This window comes from Homo sapiens, chromosome 7, assembly GCF_000001405.40.
Source record: "Homo sapiens chromosome 7, GRCh38.p14 Primary Assembly".
Taxonomy (NCBI): domain Eukaryota; kingdom Metazoa; phylum Chordata; class Mammalia; order Primates; family Hominidae; genus Homo; species Homo sapiens.
The window spans coordinates 46,004,425-46,025,105 of NC_000007.14; the positions used below are offsets into that span (position 1 = coordinate 46,004,425).

The 20,681-nt window shown below is 38.3% G+C and overlaps 1 long non-coding RNA gene across 1 annotated transcript in view, besides 2 other annotated features; it reads right to left on the minus strand.

Moving 5' to 3' along the window:
* LOC105375264 (uncharacterized) overlaps nucleotides 1-19,998 on the minus strand; it is a 32,395-nt gene extending 12,397 nt beyond the window's left edge. The window contains exon 1 of the long non-coding RNA XR_001745204.2: nucleotides 19,855-19,998. This is a non-coding gene — a long non-coding RNA (uncharacterized LOC105375264). The remainder of the gene's footprint in view (nucleotides 1-19,854) is intronic.
* Nucleotides 10,507-11,277: an enhancer, noted in NCBI's record as "OCT4-NANOG-H3K27ac-H3K4me1 hESC enhancer chr7:46054530-46055300 (GRCh37/hg19 assembly coordinates)". NCBI's record gives its function as "activates a minimal SCP1, AML or CMV promoter by ChIP-STARR-seq in naive H9 embryonic stem cells {active_cell/tissue: H9 hESC(naive)}" and the evidence as "EXISTENCE:reporter gene assay evidence [ECO:0000049][PMID:30033119]".
* Nucleotides 11,278-12,048: an enhancer, noted in NCBI's record as "OCT4-NANOG-H3K27ac-H3K4me1 hESC enhancer chr7:46055301-46056071 (GRCh37/hg19 assembly coordinates)". NCBI's record gives its function as "activates a minimal SCP1, AML or CMV promoter by ChIP-STARR-seq in naive H9 embryonic stem cells {active_cell/tissue: H9 hESC(naive)}" and the evidence as "EXISTENCE:reporter gene assay evidence [ECO:0000049][PMID:30033119]".
* Nucleotides 19,999-20,681: the final 683 nt, after the last annotated feature.

Consider the following 20,681-nt stretch of genomic DNA (forward strand, 5'->3'; position numbering starts at 1 on the left):
ACATCCAGGAAGAAGGACAGAAGAAAGACTGTGAAGGACTTGAGTCAGGGAGGGGTGTGAGCTGACTCAGAAAGGGTGATGCATGGGTAGGCCATGGGGTGAGGGATGAACGGGAGTCTTGGATTTCCTGTGGTCACTCAGGGAAACCCAGCAGCTAAAAGTAAGTGATTTAAGCAAATGAATGGACAGATGAATTAATGAATAGACTAAAGATGGACAAATGCTTCCACCAGCCTTGCTTCAGGCCCTATTTAGAACTGAAGTTGACTTCCTCTTTCTTTTAATAGCTGCAAAAATGATGAATTTGATTTTCGTCTCTAGAAGCAATTTCCTTTTTAAATCAGGTGAGGATCTTGGCAGATGCGAAGAATCTTTCAGAACCTGCATGTATATGAGAAAGGGATATGACAGCATGAAGTTCTCCTGTTTGAAGAAGCTAAATGGAGCCACTTTTTGACTCAGTTGACTGGGACCTGGAGCTGGTGCACTATTTGAATTGCATGGTGTGCCTGCCGCTGCCTTTTGACTTCTCCAGCCTGTACACCTGCCTTTTTGGGGAGAACTGTGGTAACATATGGGGAGGCGTCCTGTATTTTCTGCAATATCTGACAAAGAAAAACTAGTTGGTTCATATGTATATATGATCTTTCAACAAGAACGTCAAATAAATATCTTCACTCCTTGGGGAGAAGCAGGTCAGAGCCCCACTGTCTCAGCTAGCTCTCACTTGGCTGTCTTGTTTTGGGGCTGGAAGGCCACACTGTGTTTCCTGGGGTAGAGGCGGAGTCTGGGCATTCTCCCTTTGTAGCTGAGAGCTAAGAGCAGTTGTGTCTGCTTTGATAAAATAAAGTTATTTTTTAGTTTAGTCTGATCTCCAAATCCTTCCCTTTCAGATACCTCTGCCATCCAAGATCAGGGGATACTAAATTTTCAAAGCATTTTCTCAGGAGTTGCATGAGAAAACATACACCTGCTCTTGTTTTCAAGGGGTGTGGGCAAGAAGTAAAAAGGACAAACTGTTAATGAGAACACTTTCTGTATTCCTCCCTCCCCACTGATACATACCAGTACCATAAAATTTAAAATGAGTCAAATGACTGCAGTAAGACTTTACTTTGGTATACGAGGCAAAATGTTGGACATGGGTGCTAATTAATCATCAGAGAGTTACAGGGGAACCTGGACGAATTAAGACTGGGGCAAGAGACAGCTCATCAAGGATCTTGCCCTGTAGCTCAAGAAGAAAATGTTTAACTTAGTTGCCTGGACACTCTGAGGATAGAATGAAATGCTGTATGCGACCTGTTGGCCTTGGAAGCCGGCATGGATTCAGCACCCAGGGTTGGGGTGAACCTTCTCTCCCTCACTGTGTCAGGCATCTTAGTCTGCCCCAGGATGTGCAGGCTGCCTGTCCCTGGCCTCACATCCTGCTGTAAGTGGGATTGTGACCCCCTGAAATGCATATGTTGAAGCCCTAACTGCCTCTGTGATGGTATTTGGAGGTGAAGCCTTTGGGAGATAATTAGGGTTAGATGAAGTCCTAAGGACCTCCATGATGGGATTAGTGTCCTTACAAGAAGAGGAAGAGACACCAGAGCTTCCCCTCTCTCACCTGTGAGGACAGAGGTAGCAGGTGGCTGTGTGCAAACCAGGAAAGGAGCCCCCACTAGGGAACCAGTTGGCTGGTTCCCTGATCTTGGACTTCCAGCCTCTGGAACAGTAAGGAACAAATGTTGGCTGTTTAGGGTGCCCAGGTAATTTGTTATGGGAGCCCAGGCTAAGATATGCACCTTCTCAGCACCTGTGTGTGACGGAACACAGGCTTTGGTGCCAAACATACCTGCATTCCATCACATACCTTGTTATGTGGCCTGTGGTCAGGCACTGCCCCAGGGACACCCCACGTGGATTAGAAAGTCCTTCTCATGCCACATGTACTCCCTGTGCCGTGGGTGGTTCCCACTGTGGTCTCTAAGGCCACCAGCCATTCAGATGCTTACACAGCAAGTGTGTGGGGCTGTGGTTGGGTTCCTCTCCTCTCAGTGGTCAGGGGCATGAAGAGCCGCCTCTCACCACCTTCCATTCTGCTATCACATGCCTTTTGTATTGAACTCTTGTAAGTCTGTGTTATGAGCCAAATCCTGTCACCCCAAATTTCATATATTGAACTCCTAACCCCCAGGAGCCCAGAATACACCTAGATTTACCAATTAAGATAAAATGAGGTACTTAGGGTGGGTCCTGATCCAATATTACTGGTGTTCTATTAAGAAGAGGAAATTAGGACTCACACGCACACAGAGAAATGACCACATGAGGACACAGGGAGAAGATGCCCCATCTACAAAACAGGGAGAGAGGCCTTAGGAGAAACCAGCCCTGAGAACACCTTGATCTCAGACTTCCAGTCTTCAGGATGGTGAGAGAATACATTTCTGTTGTTTGAGCTGCACAAGCTGTGGTGTTTGTTACAGCAGCCTGAGCAGACTGATACAGGCTGTCACCACTCAGGGCCTTCAGCTGTACTTCTTGTCAGGATGCCATTTCCTTGGTCTCCATGGAGATAACTTCGATTCCTTTCTCAGGAATTCACTTGGGCATTCTTAAATGCTCCAGGAAGGCTTCTCTGCACCCCTCAGGCTGGGCTGTGCCTTCAGGGTGCCCCTGGCTCCCTGGGCATGCTGTGTTTGCAGGGCTGATCCCAGTGTGCTGTATCCCACTGTGCTTCTAGGGTCCTTGTTTGACTGCAGATTTCTCTTGTGTCCAGTTGTTATCTTTGAATTGTGTCCTCAGTGCTCAGTACTGTGTTTGGGATATTGGCCATACTTAGTAAACGTATGTTGAATGAAGAAATAGATGAATCACAGTGGTAAACCAAGGTGAAAATCTGAGTGATAAATTATCAGAGAAGCACAATAGACTACTATAGTCCAATGGAGCCATGCCATTGGTGCTTTCCTGGCCTTTTGGTTTGAATCAACTAGTAATCATGTTGATGGTCTACTTCACTTTGTGGTTTTGACATGACTATCATGTCACTCAAAGATAAACAGATCCGCTCTTAGGGAAGAGTTACTTGAACTGAGGCCAGGAGAGATATATTCTCTTGTTTTTGATGTCACATTGACTATTTTTCAGAAAGCAAGGATAACAACACAGCCTCTTGAAACTGTTATTGAGGATTTTCAAGGGATTTGTAAATTATTTTTTTAACCAAATAGGGAAACAGCTTTTTTATATACTGCAAAATTGTGGAGATAAAAGTTTCCTTGCTTGTGTTTCCTTTTAAAATTATCAAGGCAGACCCAGCTTACAAAGGGAGAAATAGCATGGATGTAGAAAGAGGTGCGTGAGGTGGGCTTTTGTATCCTCTGCACCCTGCCTTTTACACAAGCCCCAGAGCCCCTTCTGCTCAATGAGGGACCCCTCGGGTGCCAGGCCTGGTTGGCCAGGCTGGGCTGCAGCCCCTTCATAAGCTTCTAGTATGACAGTGTTGTTAAACAGCTCTGTTTTTTAAGTTTTAGGTTCCACTTGGAGTTTGTACATAGAAGACATTTGGAAGAATAAAATCCATATAAAACCATGTTTATCCAGCCTACTTATTCTTGTTATTCCTCATTCTTGGAACCTGTGTGGAAATCTTATAATAATTAATTGCTTAAGATTTTATTTCCTTGTCCTGTTGTTTTGGTGTTTACTGCCCGTTTCCCGGGATACTGACGAGGAAATGGAATGAAAGGCCCTTAACACGCTCTGGACATGGCCACCCTGAGTTGTACTTGGCTATGGGAGCTCAAGTTCACAGCAAGAGAACAGAGGCCAGAATGGCCAGCTCAGTTTCTTGGCTGAATTATCATGTGAACTTTTCCCTCCCTATCAGTATTAAACCTTTTCCCAGCTCTACATGGGACATGCTTTGTCTCTGGGGTCAGTGGGGTTGTTGAAAATAAAGACTGTGATATTATGAGTGATGTGCTGCTGTGGGAGAGGATGGATCTCAGTAGCAAGAACTACCCCCCCCAGTGACACCTCATGTCATCATCCTGGACCGCTGGTGTAGAGTCATTGAATTTTGTGTGATGTTAACATGGATGGCTCAGATCAGTAACACAGAGGCAAGGAAAGAGGTACCATGAATGGGAACAGTTCGGGGAAGCTTTATCAACCTCTCCAGACCTTATTTCTCCATCTAAGTGAAGGAAGAGTGTGATGTGAAGATGTCATGTGTCAGGTGCCAGCTCTAGTGCCAGTCATGTGTCAGTGCCCAGCTGAGGCTCACTCTTCCTCCCTTTTCTTGCTTCTCAGCTTCCAGCCTAGAATCCTTGTTCTGCATGCTGGGAGAGAGCACCAACTTTGGAGTCCCCCAGCCCTGAGTGTGACTATGGGTTCTTGCTTTTCATGAGTGTTTTCGGGCAAATTTTTTCACATTTCTAGGCCTCAGTTTCTTCTTCTGTAAAAAAGGAAAAGCACTTATGTCATTGTGTTGTTTTGAGGATAGAAAAATACTGTGAAGCATTTAGTATGTTTCGAGCACATTGTATGCACTCAATTCATGGTCACTATTATTTTATTTACAAATATAATATAAATATAAATATAATAAAATGCTTCCCAACTAGTCCGCAAAAGAAGACTGCCTGAAACGTATTGATATTTTTCTTTTTGATTTCTGGAGCTGTCATATGCCAAATGCTCTTGGGATGCAGAATTCTATTTTTCTGGAAATGAAGTCATGGGTCGAATGATTGGCAAAGAAAGTCATATTACATTTTGTTTTTTATTCTCACAAAGTATGAAGTGGATCATTGGCAACCTTAATTTAAAATAGTGCTAAATAGAAAGTATATGTAACAGTACTTATTTATTCTGGAACTTTAAAACTATAGTGAAAAATTTTCTAGACCAGGAGTCAGCACACTTTTTCTGAAAAGGACCAGATGGTATATATTTTAAGCTTTGCAGGCCTTCCTGTCTCTGTCACAACTACTCAACTCTGCTGTTTAGTGCAAAAGCAGCTGTGAACAATATAGAAATGATGAGTGTAGCTACGTACCAGTAAAGCTTGAGTGGTGTGACATTGACTTGTCAGATTCCCCCTCTATATCTTGCTTTCCTCATTACAAAAGGAGCGTCAGTCTGAGGATGCTAAACAATGTACTTAAATGTACCTAGCACAGTGTCAGGCATGAACTAATGGAGCTCACTCTGGCCTTTTATGCCATGGGTCCACAGTCCATGTGCTGTTCATGGTTAATTTAATTTTGGAGTGGTGAAGGAATTTCGTGATCTATCTATTTGTAGCAACTGGGGTGCTGTGTTGAGAACGATTCTGGGACTGTCTGGGCTTGGCTGAAAAGTATGCGGTGACGTCCATTCCTAGACTAGGCAGTGTTTCTTCTTTTCTTGTTATGTTCCCTGTATTTCAGCCATTTTTTTCTTCTGGGTTCTTCAGTCTGGTTTTTTTTTTTTTTTTTTTTTTTTTTTTTGCAATCTCATATCACCCCTTACCTTCACTCACAGTGGGAAGTGGGTATGTCTATAGTTCTGGGTTGGAGAGGAGTTGTTGACATGACTATTTCTTTAAAATTTTCTATGGTTTAAACTCTAATTTTAATCTGATGATTAAGCAAAATGTACATTTTAATTGATTAATGTTTTCTTAAGGTATAGGATAAAAGTATTTCCACGTCTGTCTGTCTTTCTTTCTGTCTGTCTGTCTTTTCTTTCTTTCTTTCTTTCTTTCTTTCTTTCTTTCTTTCTTTCTTTCCTTTCTTTCTTTTCTTTCTGTTTCTTTCTCCCTTCCTCCCTTCCTTCCTTCCTTCTTTCTTTCTTTTTCTTTTTGAGATGGAGTCTCCCTCTGTTGCCTAGGCTGGAGTTCAATGGCATGATCTTGGCTCACTGCAACCTCTGCCTCCCAGGTTCAAGCGATTGTCCTGCCTCTGCCTCCCAAGTAGCTAGGATTACAGGTGTGGGCCACCATGCTACAGGCTAATTTTTGTATTTTTAGTTGGCCTGGCTGATCTTGAACTCCTAACCTCAGGTGATCTGCCTGCCCTTGGCCTCCCAAAGTGCTAAGATTACAGGCATGAGCCACCGTGCCTGACCTCTACATGTATGTTTTATGTGTGAGATGTTGTCAGTCTTAATTTAGGAAAAATCCTTTTTAATTTTCTAAGGTTTATTTTTTCTTTTTTTATACCCCAGGATTGTCATATAAATCTGTCTTCTGCAGTGGAATGCAGAAGAGGAGATTACAGTTCTGAAGCATCATTGTCCACACCTTTCTCTTGCTGCCCTCCCAGCTGGAGGTGGACACCACCCCTGCAGCGCAGAGCAGGGAGGCTGGCCCAGTACTGCAGGGGCTTCATGTGCAGGCTGATTCCTTTCCTGTGTTTGCAAAGTTGGAGGCAGTCCACAAGGCAGCTTTCTGCACCATCTGCAGAATTTATAGGTTCTTAAGGTCACCCTCAGGTTTGATAATTTGCTAGGTGAGTTCTTACAGAACTCACTGAAAACTGTTATACTCATGGTTATGGTTTATTTGAGTGAAAGTATACAGATTACCATCGGCCAAGGGGGAGATGCAGAGCGGAGTTGAGAGCTTTCCAGACGTGGAGCTTCTAGTTGTCCTTATGGTGGAGTATGGACAATGTCAGCTTCTGCTGGGAATGGTATGTTACAATGCTTGTGGGGTATTGACAACCAGGGACAGTCACCTGAGTCTTGCTGTCCCGGGTTCTGATTGGTGCTTGAGCAAAAAGACAGGGTTGACTGCCCAAGTCACTGACTTTTACTCTCCAGCTCCTCTGGAGGAAGAGTGAATACTGCATGGCCCAAAGCCCTCATCATAAATCACACTGCTATTAAACCGCCCAGTGGCCAAAGCCCCAGGCTCAGGTGAGCTTCTTGGTTGGAGATACTATGTTTATCTTAACACATGTCATCCCTTGAAGAAATTTATGCTGTTTGTGAATCCACTGGACAATGACACCTGGAAGATCTGCATTTGGAATCCTCTGGGACTCTGCCCCATGTATCTCTTCCCTTGGCTGATTTTAGCCTATGTCCTTTCATTATAATATAACATTCCATAAATATGCTAGTTTTTAGAAGAATTCTGTGAATTCAGTGGAATTCTGTAGCTGGAGAAGGGAGTGAGGGTGGAGGTGTATGAGAAATACTTGTACAAAACATACCATGAGGCATAGGCCAACCAAAATACTGAGAAATAGTCAGGAGATGAGAAAATGCCCCTCCTCCTACACCTTATCACCATGCTAACAAGCCACCAGTAATAAGTGGATTACAGCTGAACAAGGTGTGAGATAAAGACTCTCTCTGAGAACGTTGTATAAAAGAGGGGTGAAAAAAAAGCAAAGAGGGGTGGAAAATTTTTAAAAGCAACAACAAAAGTACTTACTGGAGGCATTTGAAGTCTTTAGTGGCTACAGCTACAACAAGCATTAAACATATCTCAACTCCTAGACATATCAAGTTTAACATAAATCTTGATATATATTAAATAATGATTATTTAACATATGTTAAATGAAGATTTACCATAAATCTTCATGTTAATGTCCTATTTATCTCAATAACTATTATCCTAGGCAACACGGCTGGCTTTCAACAAGAAATTACAAAGAATGACAAAGGCAAAGTAAACAAAAAAAGCTTCACAATCTGAAAAGGCAAAATAAAAAGAGAGGAATAATCAGAATCAGACTCTGATATGACACAATTGTAGGAATTATCAGATAGGAACTTTTAAATAACCATGTTAAGAGCTAAAATAATATAGTAGTAATAATAATAATAATATACAAGGCCAGGTAGACAATGTCAGAAGAGAAATTGAAACTATAAAAATGTACCGAAAAGAGGTGCTAATAATAATAATAATAATAAAACTGTAACAGAAAAGAAGGGTACCTTCAGTGGAGTCATCAGGAGACTCAATATAGCTAAAGAATCATGGAACTTGAGTATAGGTCAACAGAAACATCTAAAACTCAGATGCAAAGAGAAAATTAGAAATAATAATAATACGGAATAAAATATCCAAAAACCGTGGGGTAATATAAAAAATTACAACATATACACAGTACCAGAAAAAAAAGAAAAAGAGAATGGATGGATAGAAAATATTAAAAAATATAATAGCCAAGCACTTTCTAAGTTTCACGTTTTATTGATTGAAACTACAATAACATACAGGTCCAAGAAGTTATACGTATTATATTCAAATTGTAGAAAATGAGAAACAAAAAGAAAATTTTCAAAAAAACCAGGGAAAGAATATACATCACTTATAAAGGAACAAAGATAAGGATTACAGCAGATTTGTTATAAGAAACCATGCAAACAACAAGAAAATGAAATAAGTTCTTTAAAGAACCTGTTGAAAAAAAACTCAACCTAAAATTTTATAACCAGTGAAATTATAGCTGACCACTTCTTAAAAGTGGAGCAGAAATAAAGGCTTTCTGAGACTAACAAAAAAATGAGAGCATTCATTGTAAACTGATCTGCCTTGAAGGAAATTTTAGAATAAATTCTTCAGGCAGAAGGAAAATTATATAGGTCAGAAACTTAGATCTATATTAAAAAGGAAAGGCATCAGAAAAGAAAGAAATGATGATAAAATATACTAATTTCCCTTATTTTTAATTGATCTAAAAGATAACAGTCTCCTTAAAGCAACAATAGTAATAATATTGGAAGTTTATAGCATATGGATAAGTAATATGAATAACAGCATTGTCAGAAGAATTGAAAGGGGGAATTTGGAAATATTCTGTTTAAGATATCTTCATTACCCATCAATATATATAAAGTATTATTTGAAGATAAATTTAGATTATTTAAAAATGTGCATTATAAACCCTTGAGCAACCACTCAAGAAGTTAAAAAAAAGTACAAATTATATGCCCAGAGAAGAGATAAAATGGAATCAAATAAAATGCTTAGTTAAAACGAGAGAATGCAGAAAAGGGGAAAAAAGGGAGAAGCAAAGAATAAAGCAACAAATGGAAAATAGTTAGAAAGATAGTAGATTTTTGTTAATAATCAACTTAAAAATGGCCTAATTGTAACAATGAAAAGTTAGAGATTATCAGAGTAGATTAAAAAAAGAGACCCAATCATATGCTGCCTAACCATTTTAAATATTAATATAAAGACTCAAGTAGGTTAAAAGCAGAGATGGAGAAACTTATGCCATGCTAACACTAATCAAAAGAATGCTGGAATAGCTATATCTGTTTCACACAAAACAGACATTCGAACAAGGATGATTTATCAGTATAAGGAGGTATCTTGCATGATGATATAGAGACCAATTCTCTAGGAAGACATAATTTCAAGTATGTATGCACCTAACAACAGAGCATCAAATAGATGAGGCAAAACCAAATAGAACTGAAATGAGAGGTAGGCAAATCTACTATTATAGTTTGAAACTCCAATACCCCTCTATTAATAATAGATAGATAAGGTGAGGAGAAAATCAGTAAGGATACATATTACCTGATCTGCACCGTCAAGCAGACTGAGCTAATTGGTATTTATATAGCACTTTATTCAACAAAAGCAGGCTACATATTCTTCTCAAGTACATATGGAACATTCACCAAGATAGCCCATATTCTCAGTGAAAAAAAACCACAACACTTAAATGGAGAGGATTAGGGAAATTATACAAAATGCATTCTCAAGACACAATGAAATTAAGAAATCAATAAATGAAAAATAGGAAAATATCAACATATGTGGAAATTTAATATGTTTTAAAAAAAACCGTTGGTTAAAGAAGTCTCAAATGAAATTTTAAAAATTAAACTGAATGAAAATTAAAACAAAACTTATAATTTATAGGATACAGCTAACACAGCACCTTAAGGAAATTTATAACATTGAATACATATATTAGAAAAGTAGAAATATCTACAAACCCATTACCCAGGCATCAAGTCTTAGTAAGCTGGAGAAAAAAGAACAATTAAGTGTAAAGCAAACAGGGAAAACAACCAATAAAAATTATAGCAGAAATCAATGAACAGAAAAAATAGGGAAAATCAATGAAACAAAAATTTGGTTATTTGAAAAGTCCAGTGAAATTGGTAAACCTCTAGCCAGACTAACCTGTAAAAAGAAAATAAAGATATATATTTCTAATATCAAGAATGAAAGAGGGGTTATGACTACTGATTCATAGATATTGAAAGGATAATAAAGGAATACTACAAACAACTTTACACCTGTATATTTTATAACTGAAATGAAATAAGCCAATTCTTGGAAAAACACAAATCGCAAAAATCCAATTAAGGAGAAAGGGGTAACTTGACTGTCTCTATATCTACTAAAGACGTTAAATTGTCAATTAAATTCTAAACAATTTGCCAGTGAAACCACCTGGCAAATTATATTAAATATTTGAAGACATAATACAAATTCTACATAATATTGTCCAGAAATACAAAAGGAAGGAAACTTTTCAATTCATTTTATGAGACCAAGATTACCCTAATTACCAAAATCAGATAATATTACAAGAAAATTGCAAATATATCTCATTAATATAGATGCAAAAATCCTTAGCAAAATGTTAGCAAATAAAATCCTGCAATAAAAAGGATAATACATTACAATCAACTGGAGTTCCTTTCAAGAATGAAAAGCTGGTTCAACATTCATAAATCAAAAAATTTTATTCATGATATTAAATTAAGAAAAACTGTAAGATCATATTTTGTGTATATGTGTATTTAATTTTTCAAAAAAAAATTTTAAAATTACTACTAAGAGATCTGACTAGGAGGCTGGTATGATCCACGGAAAGGAAGGATGAACAGCGTGGTGTGGGGCCGCCCACCTGAGAGCCACATGGGGCAGGGGAGCCCCCTCCCCCCAGCCAAGGGAGGCGGTGAGTGAGGGTACCGTGCTTTTTCCATGGAACTGTGCAACCAACAAGTTGCACAGTTGGAACTTTGCAAGTGGAAAATCCCACTTGCAAACCCACACCACCAGGGCCTAGCGTCCCAACCACAGAGCGGTGCAGATTCTCAACAGCCTGTCAGCTGGAATCTGCTTAAGCCTACTGAGGTCCTGGGGGGAGGGGCGACCAGCACTACAGCTGCAGCTGCTGTCTAAGCTGTTTTTTTAGCTCCTTGGGGGAGGGGCAGCAGCCAGCATTGGCACTCACAACTGCTTAACACGCTAAGCTCCGTGGGTTGGGGGAAGGGCGGCATTCATCTCCATAGCTCCAGACTGTGCTTTTCCCCTGCTGGAGCCAGGGAGGGTGGACGGCTTGGTCCCAAGACATGTTCCCCACAGCCCAACACACCAGCTGTGGCAGACTGCGGCCAGAGTGGCCAGAGTGCTTCTTCAGGCCTGACCTTGACCCATCCTTCCTCATTGGGTGGAGCTTCCCTTCAGGAACTCCAGTAACTCCAGCCAGAGGCTCAGGGACAGAACCTGGACCTCACTGAGCCTGAGCCCCTAGGGGGAGGGGTGGCCACAGTCTCTGCGGACCAGCCAACTTAGCCTTTCCTCCTGGTAGTTCTGAGGAATCTGGGCAGCCCAGATGAGTGGGTTTCCCCCAAGTGAAGCACACCCCCTCCACCAAGGGACAAAGTGCTTCATTAAACAGGTCCTGTTCCCTGAGCCACCCAATTGGGTGAGACCCTTCAACAGGGGTTGTCAGACCCTATATAGGAGCAATCCTACTGGCATCAGGTTGGTGCCCCTCAAGGTCAGAGATCCCAGAAGAAGGTGTAGGCACCCATCTTTGCTGTTCTCTAGCCTCCCTAAATGACATGTCCAGGTGCAGGAGCAGACCAGATGAATAGGGCCTGACGTGAACCCCCAGCAAACCACAGCAGCCCTGCAGAAGAGGGACCTGACTATTGAAAAACAAAAACAAACAGCAACAGCAACAGCATCATCAACAACAAAAGCCCCCGCAAAAATCCCATCCAAGGGTCAGCAGCCTCAAAGAGTGAAACTAGACAAACTCGTGAAGATGAGAAAGGATCAACAAAAAAAACGCTGAAAACCCAAAAGGATACAGTGCCTCTTCTCCTCCAAATGATTGCAACGTTTCTCCAACAAGAGCGTAGAACTGGATGGAGGATGAGATGGACAAATTGACAGATGTGGGCTTCAAAAGATGGGTAATAAAAAACTACGCTGAGCTAAAGGAGCATATTTTAACCCAATGCAAAGAAACTAAGAACTTGATAAAAGGTTAGAGGAGCTGCTAACTAGAATAACCCATTTAGAAATGAACATAAATGACCTGATGGAACTGAAAAACACAGGATGAGAACTTCGTGAAGCATACACAAGTATCAACAACCGAATTGACCAAGCAGAAGAAAGGATATCAGAGATTGAAGACCACTTTGCTGAAATAAGGCATGCAGACAAGACTAGAGGAAAAAGAATGAAAAGGAATGAACAAAACCTTCAAGAAATATGGGACTTCATAAAAGGACCGAACCTACGATTGATTGGAGTACCTGAAGGAGACAGGGAGAATGGAAACAAGCTGGAAAACACACTTCAGGATATTATCCAGGAGAACTTCCCCAACCTAGCAAGACAGGCCAACATGCAAATTCAGGAAATGCAGAGAATATCACTAAAAAACTCCGTGAGAAGATCAACCCCAAGACACATAATCATCAGATTCTCCAAGGTCAAAATGAAGGAAAAAAAATGTTAAGGGCAGCCAGAGAGAAAGGTCAGGTCACCTACAAAGGGAAGCCCATCAGACTAACAGTGGACCTCTCAGCAGAAACTCTACAAGCTAGAAGAAATTGGGGATCAATATTCAATATTCTTAAAGAAAAGAATTTTCAGCCCAGAATTTCCTATCCAGCCAAACTCAGCTTCACACGTGAAGGAGAAGTAAAATCCTTCCCAGACAAGCAAATGCTGCAGGATTTCATTACCACCAGGCCTGCCTTGCAAGAGCTCCTGAAAGAAACACTAAATATGCAAAGGAAAAATTGGTACTAGCCACTGCAAAAACACACCAAAATCTGAAGACCAATGACACTATGAAGAAACTGCACCAACTGGTGTGCGAAATAACCAAATAGCATCATGAAGACAGGATCAGATTCACACATGACAATATTAACCTTAAATGTAAATGGGCTAAATGCCCCAATTAAAATCCAGTCTGGCAAATTGGATAAAGAGTCAAAATCCATCAGTGTGCAGTATTCAGGAGGCCCATCTCACATGCAAATAAACACATAGGCTCAAAATAAAGGGATGGAGGAAAATTTATCAAGCAAATGGAAAGCAAAAAAACCCGCAGGCATTGCAATCCTAGTCTCTGACAAAACAGACTTTAAACAAACAAAGGTCAAAAAAGACAAGAGCATTACATAATGGTAAAAACAACAGTTCAACAAGAAGAGCTAACTAGTTTAAATATATATCCACACAATACAGGAGCACCCAGTTTCATAAAATAAGTTCTTAGAGAACTGCCAGGAGACTTTGACTCCTACATAATAATAGTGGGAGACTTTAACACCCCACTGTCAATATTAGACAGATCAATGAGACAGAAAGTTAACAAGGATATTCAGGACTTGAACTCAGCTCTGGATCAAGTGGACTTAATAGACACCTACAGACCTCTCCACCCCAAATCAACAGAATATACATTCTTCTCAGTGCCATATGGCACTTATTCTAAAATCGACCACATAATTGGAAGTAAAACACTCCTCAGCAAATGCAAAAGAATTGAAATCATAATGAACCATCTCTCAGATCACAGTGCATTCAAATTAGAACTCAGGATTAAGAAACTCACTCAAAACCACACAATTACATGGAAATTGAACAACCTGCTCCTGAATGACTCCTGGGTAAATAATGAAATTAAGGCAGAAATCAAGAAGTTCTTTGAAACCAGTGAGAAGAAAGAGACAATGTACCAGAATCTCTGGGACACAGCTAAAGCAGTGTTAAGGGGGAAATTTATAGCATTAAATTCCCACATCAGATTCATGACAGAGGCATGGGCAAAGACCATGACGAAAACACCAAAAGCAATTGCAACAAAAACCAAAATTGACAAATAGGATCTAATTAAACTAAAGAGCTTCTGCTCAGCCAAGTAAACTATCATCAGAGTGAACAGGCAACCTACAGACTGGGAAAACAATTTTTGCAATATACTCATCTGACAAAGGTCTAATATCCAGAATCTACAAGGAACTTAAACAAATTTACAACAACAACAAAAAAACAACCCCATCAAAAAATGGGCAAAGGATATAAACAGACACATCTCAAAAGAAGACATTTACATGGCCAACAGACATATGAAAAAAAGCTCAACATCACTGATCATCAGAGAAATGCAAATCAAAACCACAATGAGATACCATCTCATGCCAGTCAGAATGGCGATTATTAAAAAGTCAAGAAACCATAGATTCTGGTGAGGTTCTGAAGAAATAGGAACACTTTTACACTGTTGGTGAGAATGTAAATTAGTTCAACTATTGTGGAAGACAGTATGGTGATTGCTCAATGATCTAGAACCACAAATACCATTTGACCCAGCCATTCCATTACTGGGTATATATCCAAAGGAATATAAATCATTCTATTATAAAGATACATGAACATGTATGTTTATTGCAGCACTATTTACAATAACAAAGATATGGAACCAATCCAAATGATAGACTGGATAAAGAAAATGTGATATGTATATACCACGGAATACTATTCAGCCATAAAAATTCATGAGATCATGTCCTTCACAGGGACGTGGATGAAGCTGAAAGCCATCATCCTCAGCAAACTAACACGAGAACAGAAAACCAAACACCACATGTTCTCACTCATAAGTTGAACAATGAGACCACATGGACACAGAGAGGGGAACAACACACACCGGGGCCTGTTGGGGGTTGGGAGGCCAGGGGAGGGAACTTAGAAGACGAGTCAACAGGTGCAGCAAACCACCATGGCACACGTATACCTATGTAACAAACCTTCATGTTCTGCACATGCATCCTGTTTTTTTTTTCAGAAGAAATAAAAACAAAAATTAAAAATAAAATTACTACTAACGTCATATTGAATAGAAAGAACTACAAGATATGCAAATTGGAAACAAATTATTTTTATTTTAAGATGACAAGCATTTCCATTTTGGAAATAACTTAATAAAAATTTCCTGGAACTAATAACCAAGTTTAGCAAGGTCACAAGAACAAGGTTGATCTACAAAATTAATGTACCTTAATAACTGGAATAACAAATTTAACACAATGACAAATCACAACAAAACCAATACGTATGAAGTACTTGTTTATAAGTCTAACAGTATATATACAGGATCTGCATGAAAAAATCTAAAAAACATTGAGGAAAGAAATCACAAAAGATATAAATAATGGAATGATATTCTCTATTCATGGATTGAAAGAATTAATTAATCAAGATGGCAGTGTATTGGTGAAGAAAAGAGATCAATGGAACTCAATAGAAAGCCCAGAAATGAGAATACACAAATATAGCCAACTGATTTTTTTTTACAAAGATGTAAAGTAAATTTAATGGAGAAAGGAGGGTTTTTTCAATAAATGGGATTGCTACAATTAGATATCCACATGCAATAAAATGAACCTCACATTTATACAAAAATTAACTCAAAATGGTCATAAATGTAAAACACAAGACTATAAAACTTGTATTCAACAGATGATACATTTTGAATGGCTTTTGGTTTGGTGATTGGTTTTTGGAAACAACACCAAAAGTACAATCCCTGAAAGAAAAAAAAAAGGACAAGTTGGACTTTATTAACTTTAGTAACCTTTCTTTTGTTGAAAGCACTATGAAAAGAACAAAAAGACCACAAACAGACTACCGACAGGGTGAAAATATTTGCAAGTCACATATCTGAGGAACTTTTATATACAACACAAATAATTTTTAAAACTCAGCAATACAGAAACAAACAAACCAATTTAAAAATAGGCAAAGGATCTGATCAGCTATCTCACCAGATTACAAATTAGCATATGAAGTGATGTTCAATATTATTTATTAGGTAAATGGAAATTAAAACAACGAGAGATACTACCTGTTAGAATGGCTAAAAAACAAGAGCAAACCAGAAAACAATACCAGTGCTAAATGCTGGTGAGGATGTGGAGCTATAGGAACTTTCATTCATTGCTGCTGAGAATGCAAAACAGTACAACTACATTGGAAGACAGTTTGGTGGTTTATTACAAAGGTAAACAGTCTAACATATAATGTAGCAATTATGCTCCTAGGTATTTATGCAACTGATTTGAAAACCTCTATCTTTTGTATACAAAACCTGCATGCAAATGTTTATAGTAGCTTTATTCATACTTGCCCCAAATTAGAAGTTACAAAGATGCCCTTCAGTAGGTGAGTGAATAAACAAACTGATAGACTTATGTTATAGAATACTATTCAGTGATCAAAAGGTATAAGCTATTAATCCATGCCACAACACAGCAGTATCTTAAATGCATATTGCAAAGTGAAACAAACCATTCATAAAAGGTTATATGCTGTAAGATTCCAACTATAAGACATTTCGGAAAAGGTAAAGGTATAGAGATGGAAAATAGATCAGGTGTTGCCAAAGATTACTAAAGAGCTGCAAGAGATGACAGATGACCTATATTGAACAGCTATGAGATTGACAAGACTGTTCAACAGTAACAGCAGAGGTTAGAAGACAATACAAAATGTTTGCAAGTGTAAATGGATGCTAGATACCAATTGAACATTTTATATCTAATAAATTTTCATTCAACAATGCAGGTAAAATAAATGCATTTTCAGGCAAAAACTGAGATAATTACACTATTTATCTTCCCTAACATGTCTTCTAAAAGAATTTAATCTAGGAAGAAGCAGCTTGAACCCAGAAGGGAGGGATGAAATGCAAAAAGCTTTGATGATTAAAAAAATGGTCAATATGTAATAAACACTGATGATGTTGAGTGATAAAGACTTTATAAAACAAGATTAAACTACACAGCAATACTAGGTCAGACAGGAGAATATGATGAGCTAAGGTGTTGCAAGGTACTTCTACTATCCAGAAGTTAAGTGCTGATACTAGTAAATTTTATACTTAGTCAGGCTTTATTATTGAAACTGTAAGAGTAACCATTGAAATAATATAAATAGACTAGAACGCTAAACTGTTAGAAGTTAAGGCAATGAAGAAGTGTTATTAGGAATGAAGAGGGAGTTATCACATAATGACAAAAATACTTTTTCATAAAGCAAAATTGACATGATTTCAAGGAGAATTTGCAATACAATCATAATGGAAGATTTTAACACATCTTTCAAATTAATTGATAGAAAAATCAGACAAGATATAGAAGATTTGGATAATGAAATTAATAAGCTTGAGGTAATATAGAGCCCTGCGCACCAACTCAACTAAGAATGAATGTAAAAACTAGTAATATATATAGAAGATTTACAAATTTGACCATAATCTTGGGCACAACATAAACTTCAATAAATAACAATATAAAGAACAGAGGCTGTTAGAAATTAGAAATTAATATTTTAAAAGCTATTCATTTCCATGCAGTTAGAGATTTAAAAAAAATCCAAGATTCATGGGTCAAAGAAGAAATCATTTTGGAATTTTTGAAATAGTTAAAACTGAATAATAATAAAATTCTACATATTTTAATTGGTAGAATGCAACTAAACCAGTATCTAAAAGTTAATTTAAATCTTTAAATGACTGTTTTAGAAAGTCCAAAAAATAATGAATTTAACGAGTTGTTAGAAATAAAATAGAATAACTTCCCATTAAAGAAAGAAAAAGGAAAGTAACAAATATTGGTGGAGTACTTAGTGAAACAGAAAATAAATAATAGATAATCCAAGAAACTCAAAGCTGATATTAGAGAAAAATAGAAAGATAACCCATCTTTGTGTCCATGTGAACTCAGTGTTTAGTTCCTGCTTATAAGTGAGAACATGCAGTATTTGGTTTTTTGTTTTTGCATTAATTCACTTAGGATAATGGCCTCCAGCTGCATCCATGTTGCTGCAAAGGACATGATTTCAGTAACTTTCTCCTGATAAGAGACCATGGCCATGGGCTGGTTGTGACTGGTTTACAGAGGCTGAGCACTGAGTGCCTGCATGCCCTGCTTCATCTTTTGATCTATAGGACTTAATTGCAATACATTTAAATGTCGTTTCCACTCCAAAATGAACATAGGAGCCTTTTTGCTTATTATGCATGTATGTGTCCCCGCTTTGTGAATATTCATAGCTCTTCCTGTAACCTGTTGAATGTGTATACCTGGCCATCCTGTTCAGCACAAATCTCTCTTCCACTCTCCCCTCCCTTGAAGCACCTGTTAATGGTCTCTGCCTGAGACTACACTTCCCAGCTTGTCAGAATGGCCACCTTGCAGGCTGTAACCCTTTATAAGAAATAAAGCTCTCCTTTCTAAATTTATAAATCTTGTGATTTTTAAGTTGACATCTTCACCACCGGGAGAGCTAGTTGCCTCTCCTAAATTGATCAGAGTGAATATCTCTGTCTTAAAGACTTTTAATATATTGTAAAATAAATTTATTTCACCCTAATGAGACTATGAACTTATTAATATCATTTTTATGTTTAAGCAATTTTTATCTCTCCAGTAACTATGTGTGGCTTGATATCTAGCAAATATTCAGTATATTTATTTTATGAATATTTGGGAGTTTCTATCCTCAAGTTGTGTGTGTCTGTGTGTATGTGTGGATTGTGGTTCTCTGTTTGTGTATCACTGTTGTGGCAAGTAACTCTTTTTTCTCCTTCACTAATCCAGACCTATAGATGTTGATATTATTAAATTCTGATCAATTTCCCCTTATATTCTCTTATTACTAATGCCTCAGTCAGTTTCAAAGCATATTTATTTTGTATTAATCAAGTAGAAAGTGCAGATATCAATTGTTTGACATTACAAATGGTGAAACTGAGGCTTAGAAATTTTAAAATGCACTAGTTAAGAGGATCATTAGTGTGGAAACATTCCAGATAATAATTCCATGCTTGAATTTTAGAGTCAAATACTTCACATATGTCTGGATTTACAGATAATTAGAGATTTGCATGTTAATATTTCTGTGCCTGTTCTTAAATAACATTTCTACCCTTTTATACCAAGTCTAATTGCTATATTAAATTTAATAGCTTTGCTTATATATTCTTTATTGAAAATGCAAATGAAATCATAGATGCTGTAAGTTCTTATCACAATCAAAATGATCAGCAGTCATATTCAACCCAAGTTTCTTTAAAACAATAAATTGATCTCCATGGGGGTTCTGGATCCTGGCAATACTCTTATTTCTTTCCCCACTTGGTGGCTTCTCAGGCATTTGTTTATGATTATTCATTAATCCACTTGTATATTTTACTGCCTTATGTGTGTCATATTTCCAGTATAAAATAAATAAGTTTAATAAAGTAAATCTTTTAAAATCTCTTATTACAAAATTGATATATTTTAGAACATTTCAAAATAGCACTATAAAAAAGAAGAAAATAAAAACCTCCCATAAGCCCACCATTTGCCTGATATCTGCTGATATAGAGACTTAAGTTGCCTGTGCTTCCACACATTAGTTCAAACAGACTTACGGAGAGATACATACATGCACCCACCCCCAACCACGCCACCTACTCCTGCCCTCAACTCACTCACAGACTTTTTAAAGTAAGAAGTTAGTATTGGTATAAAACTATTAGCTAGACTGCAGACATTATTTGGATTTCACCTGTTTTCCCACCTGGTGCCATCCAGGATCCTCTCTTGCATTTAGTTGTCATGTCTCATTTGCAGGGTGACCAGCTCATCCTAGTTTGCTCTATTTGTCTCAATTTTAAAAATAAAAGTTTTGCATTCCAGGAAGCTCATTTGTCCTGAGTCAACTGAGACAGCTGGTCACTCTACTCCTTACTCTTTTGCAATCTGTGGCAATTTTTAGTCTGTTCTCATCTTTCATGACCATGGTTCACTGCTAAAGGGTGCTTTTTGGTATGTTGTAGAATGTTCCCAGTTTGGGTCTGTCTGGTGTATTCTCATGATTAGACCCAGGGTTATGGATCTGGGGAGGAATATCACAGAGGCATCTTGTCCTTCTTATCATGTCACGTTGGGGGTGCTGATGTTAACACAAGTTATTACCGTGATGTTCGTTTGGATCGCTTGGCTCAGGCCGGTTGGCCAGGTTCCTCCACCGTCATGTGACCTTTACCCCTTTCTGTAGTCTGTTCATTAGAGCCACTAAGTCCAGCCCCACTCAAGGGCTGTGGAATAATTCCAGCTCCTAGGAGGAAGAAGGAGTTTTGAATTTGTGGACATATGTTAAAACCACTCAGTAATTGATAAGTGTTTTGGGGGTGAATACTTTGAGGTTATGCAAATCTCCTGTTTCTCCTTAAAGTTTCACCTATAACTGCAGGGGCATCAGTGGCTTTTACCTGCAGGGTTATTGCTGTGGAGTTCCAGTGATAATTTTCTCTTTCCTTCATCACTTCTATATTTATTAACTGAAATTCCTCTGGAAGGAAGATTTGTTCCTTCACTCCCACTTACTTATTCATATTAGTAAGG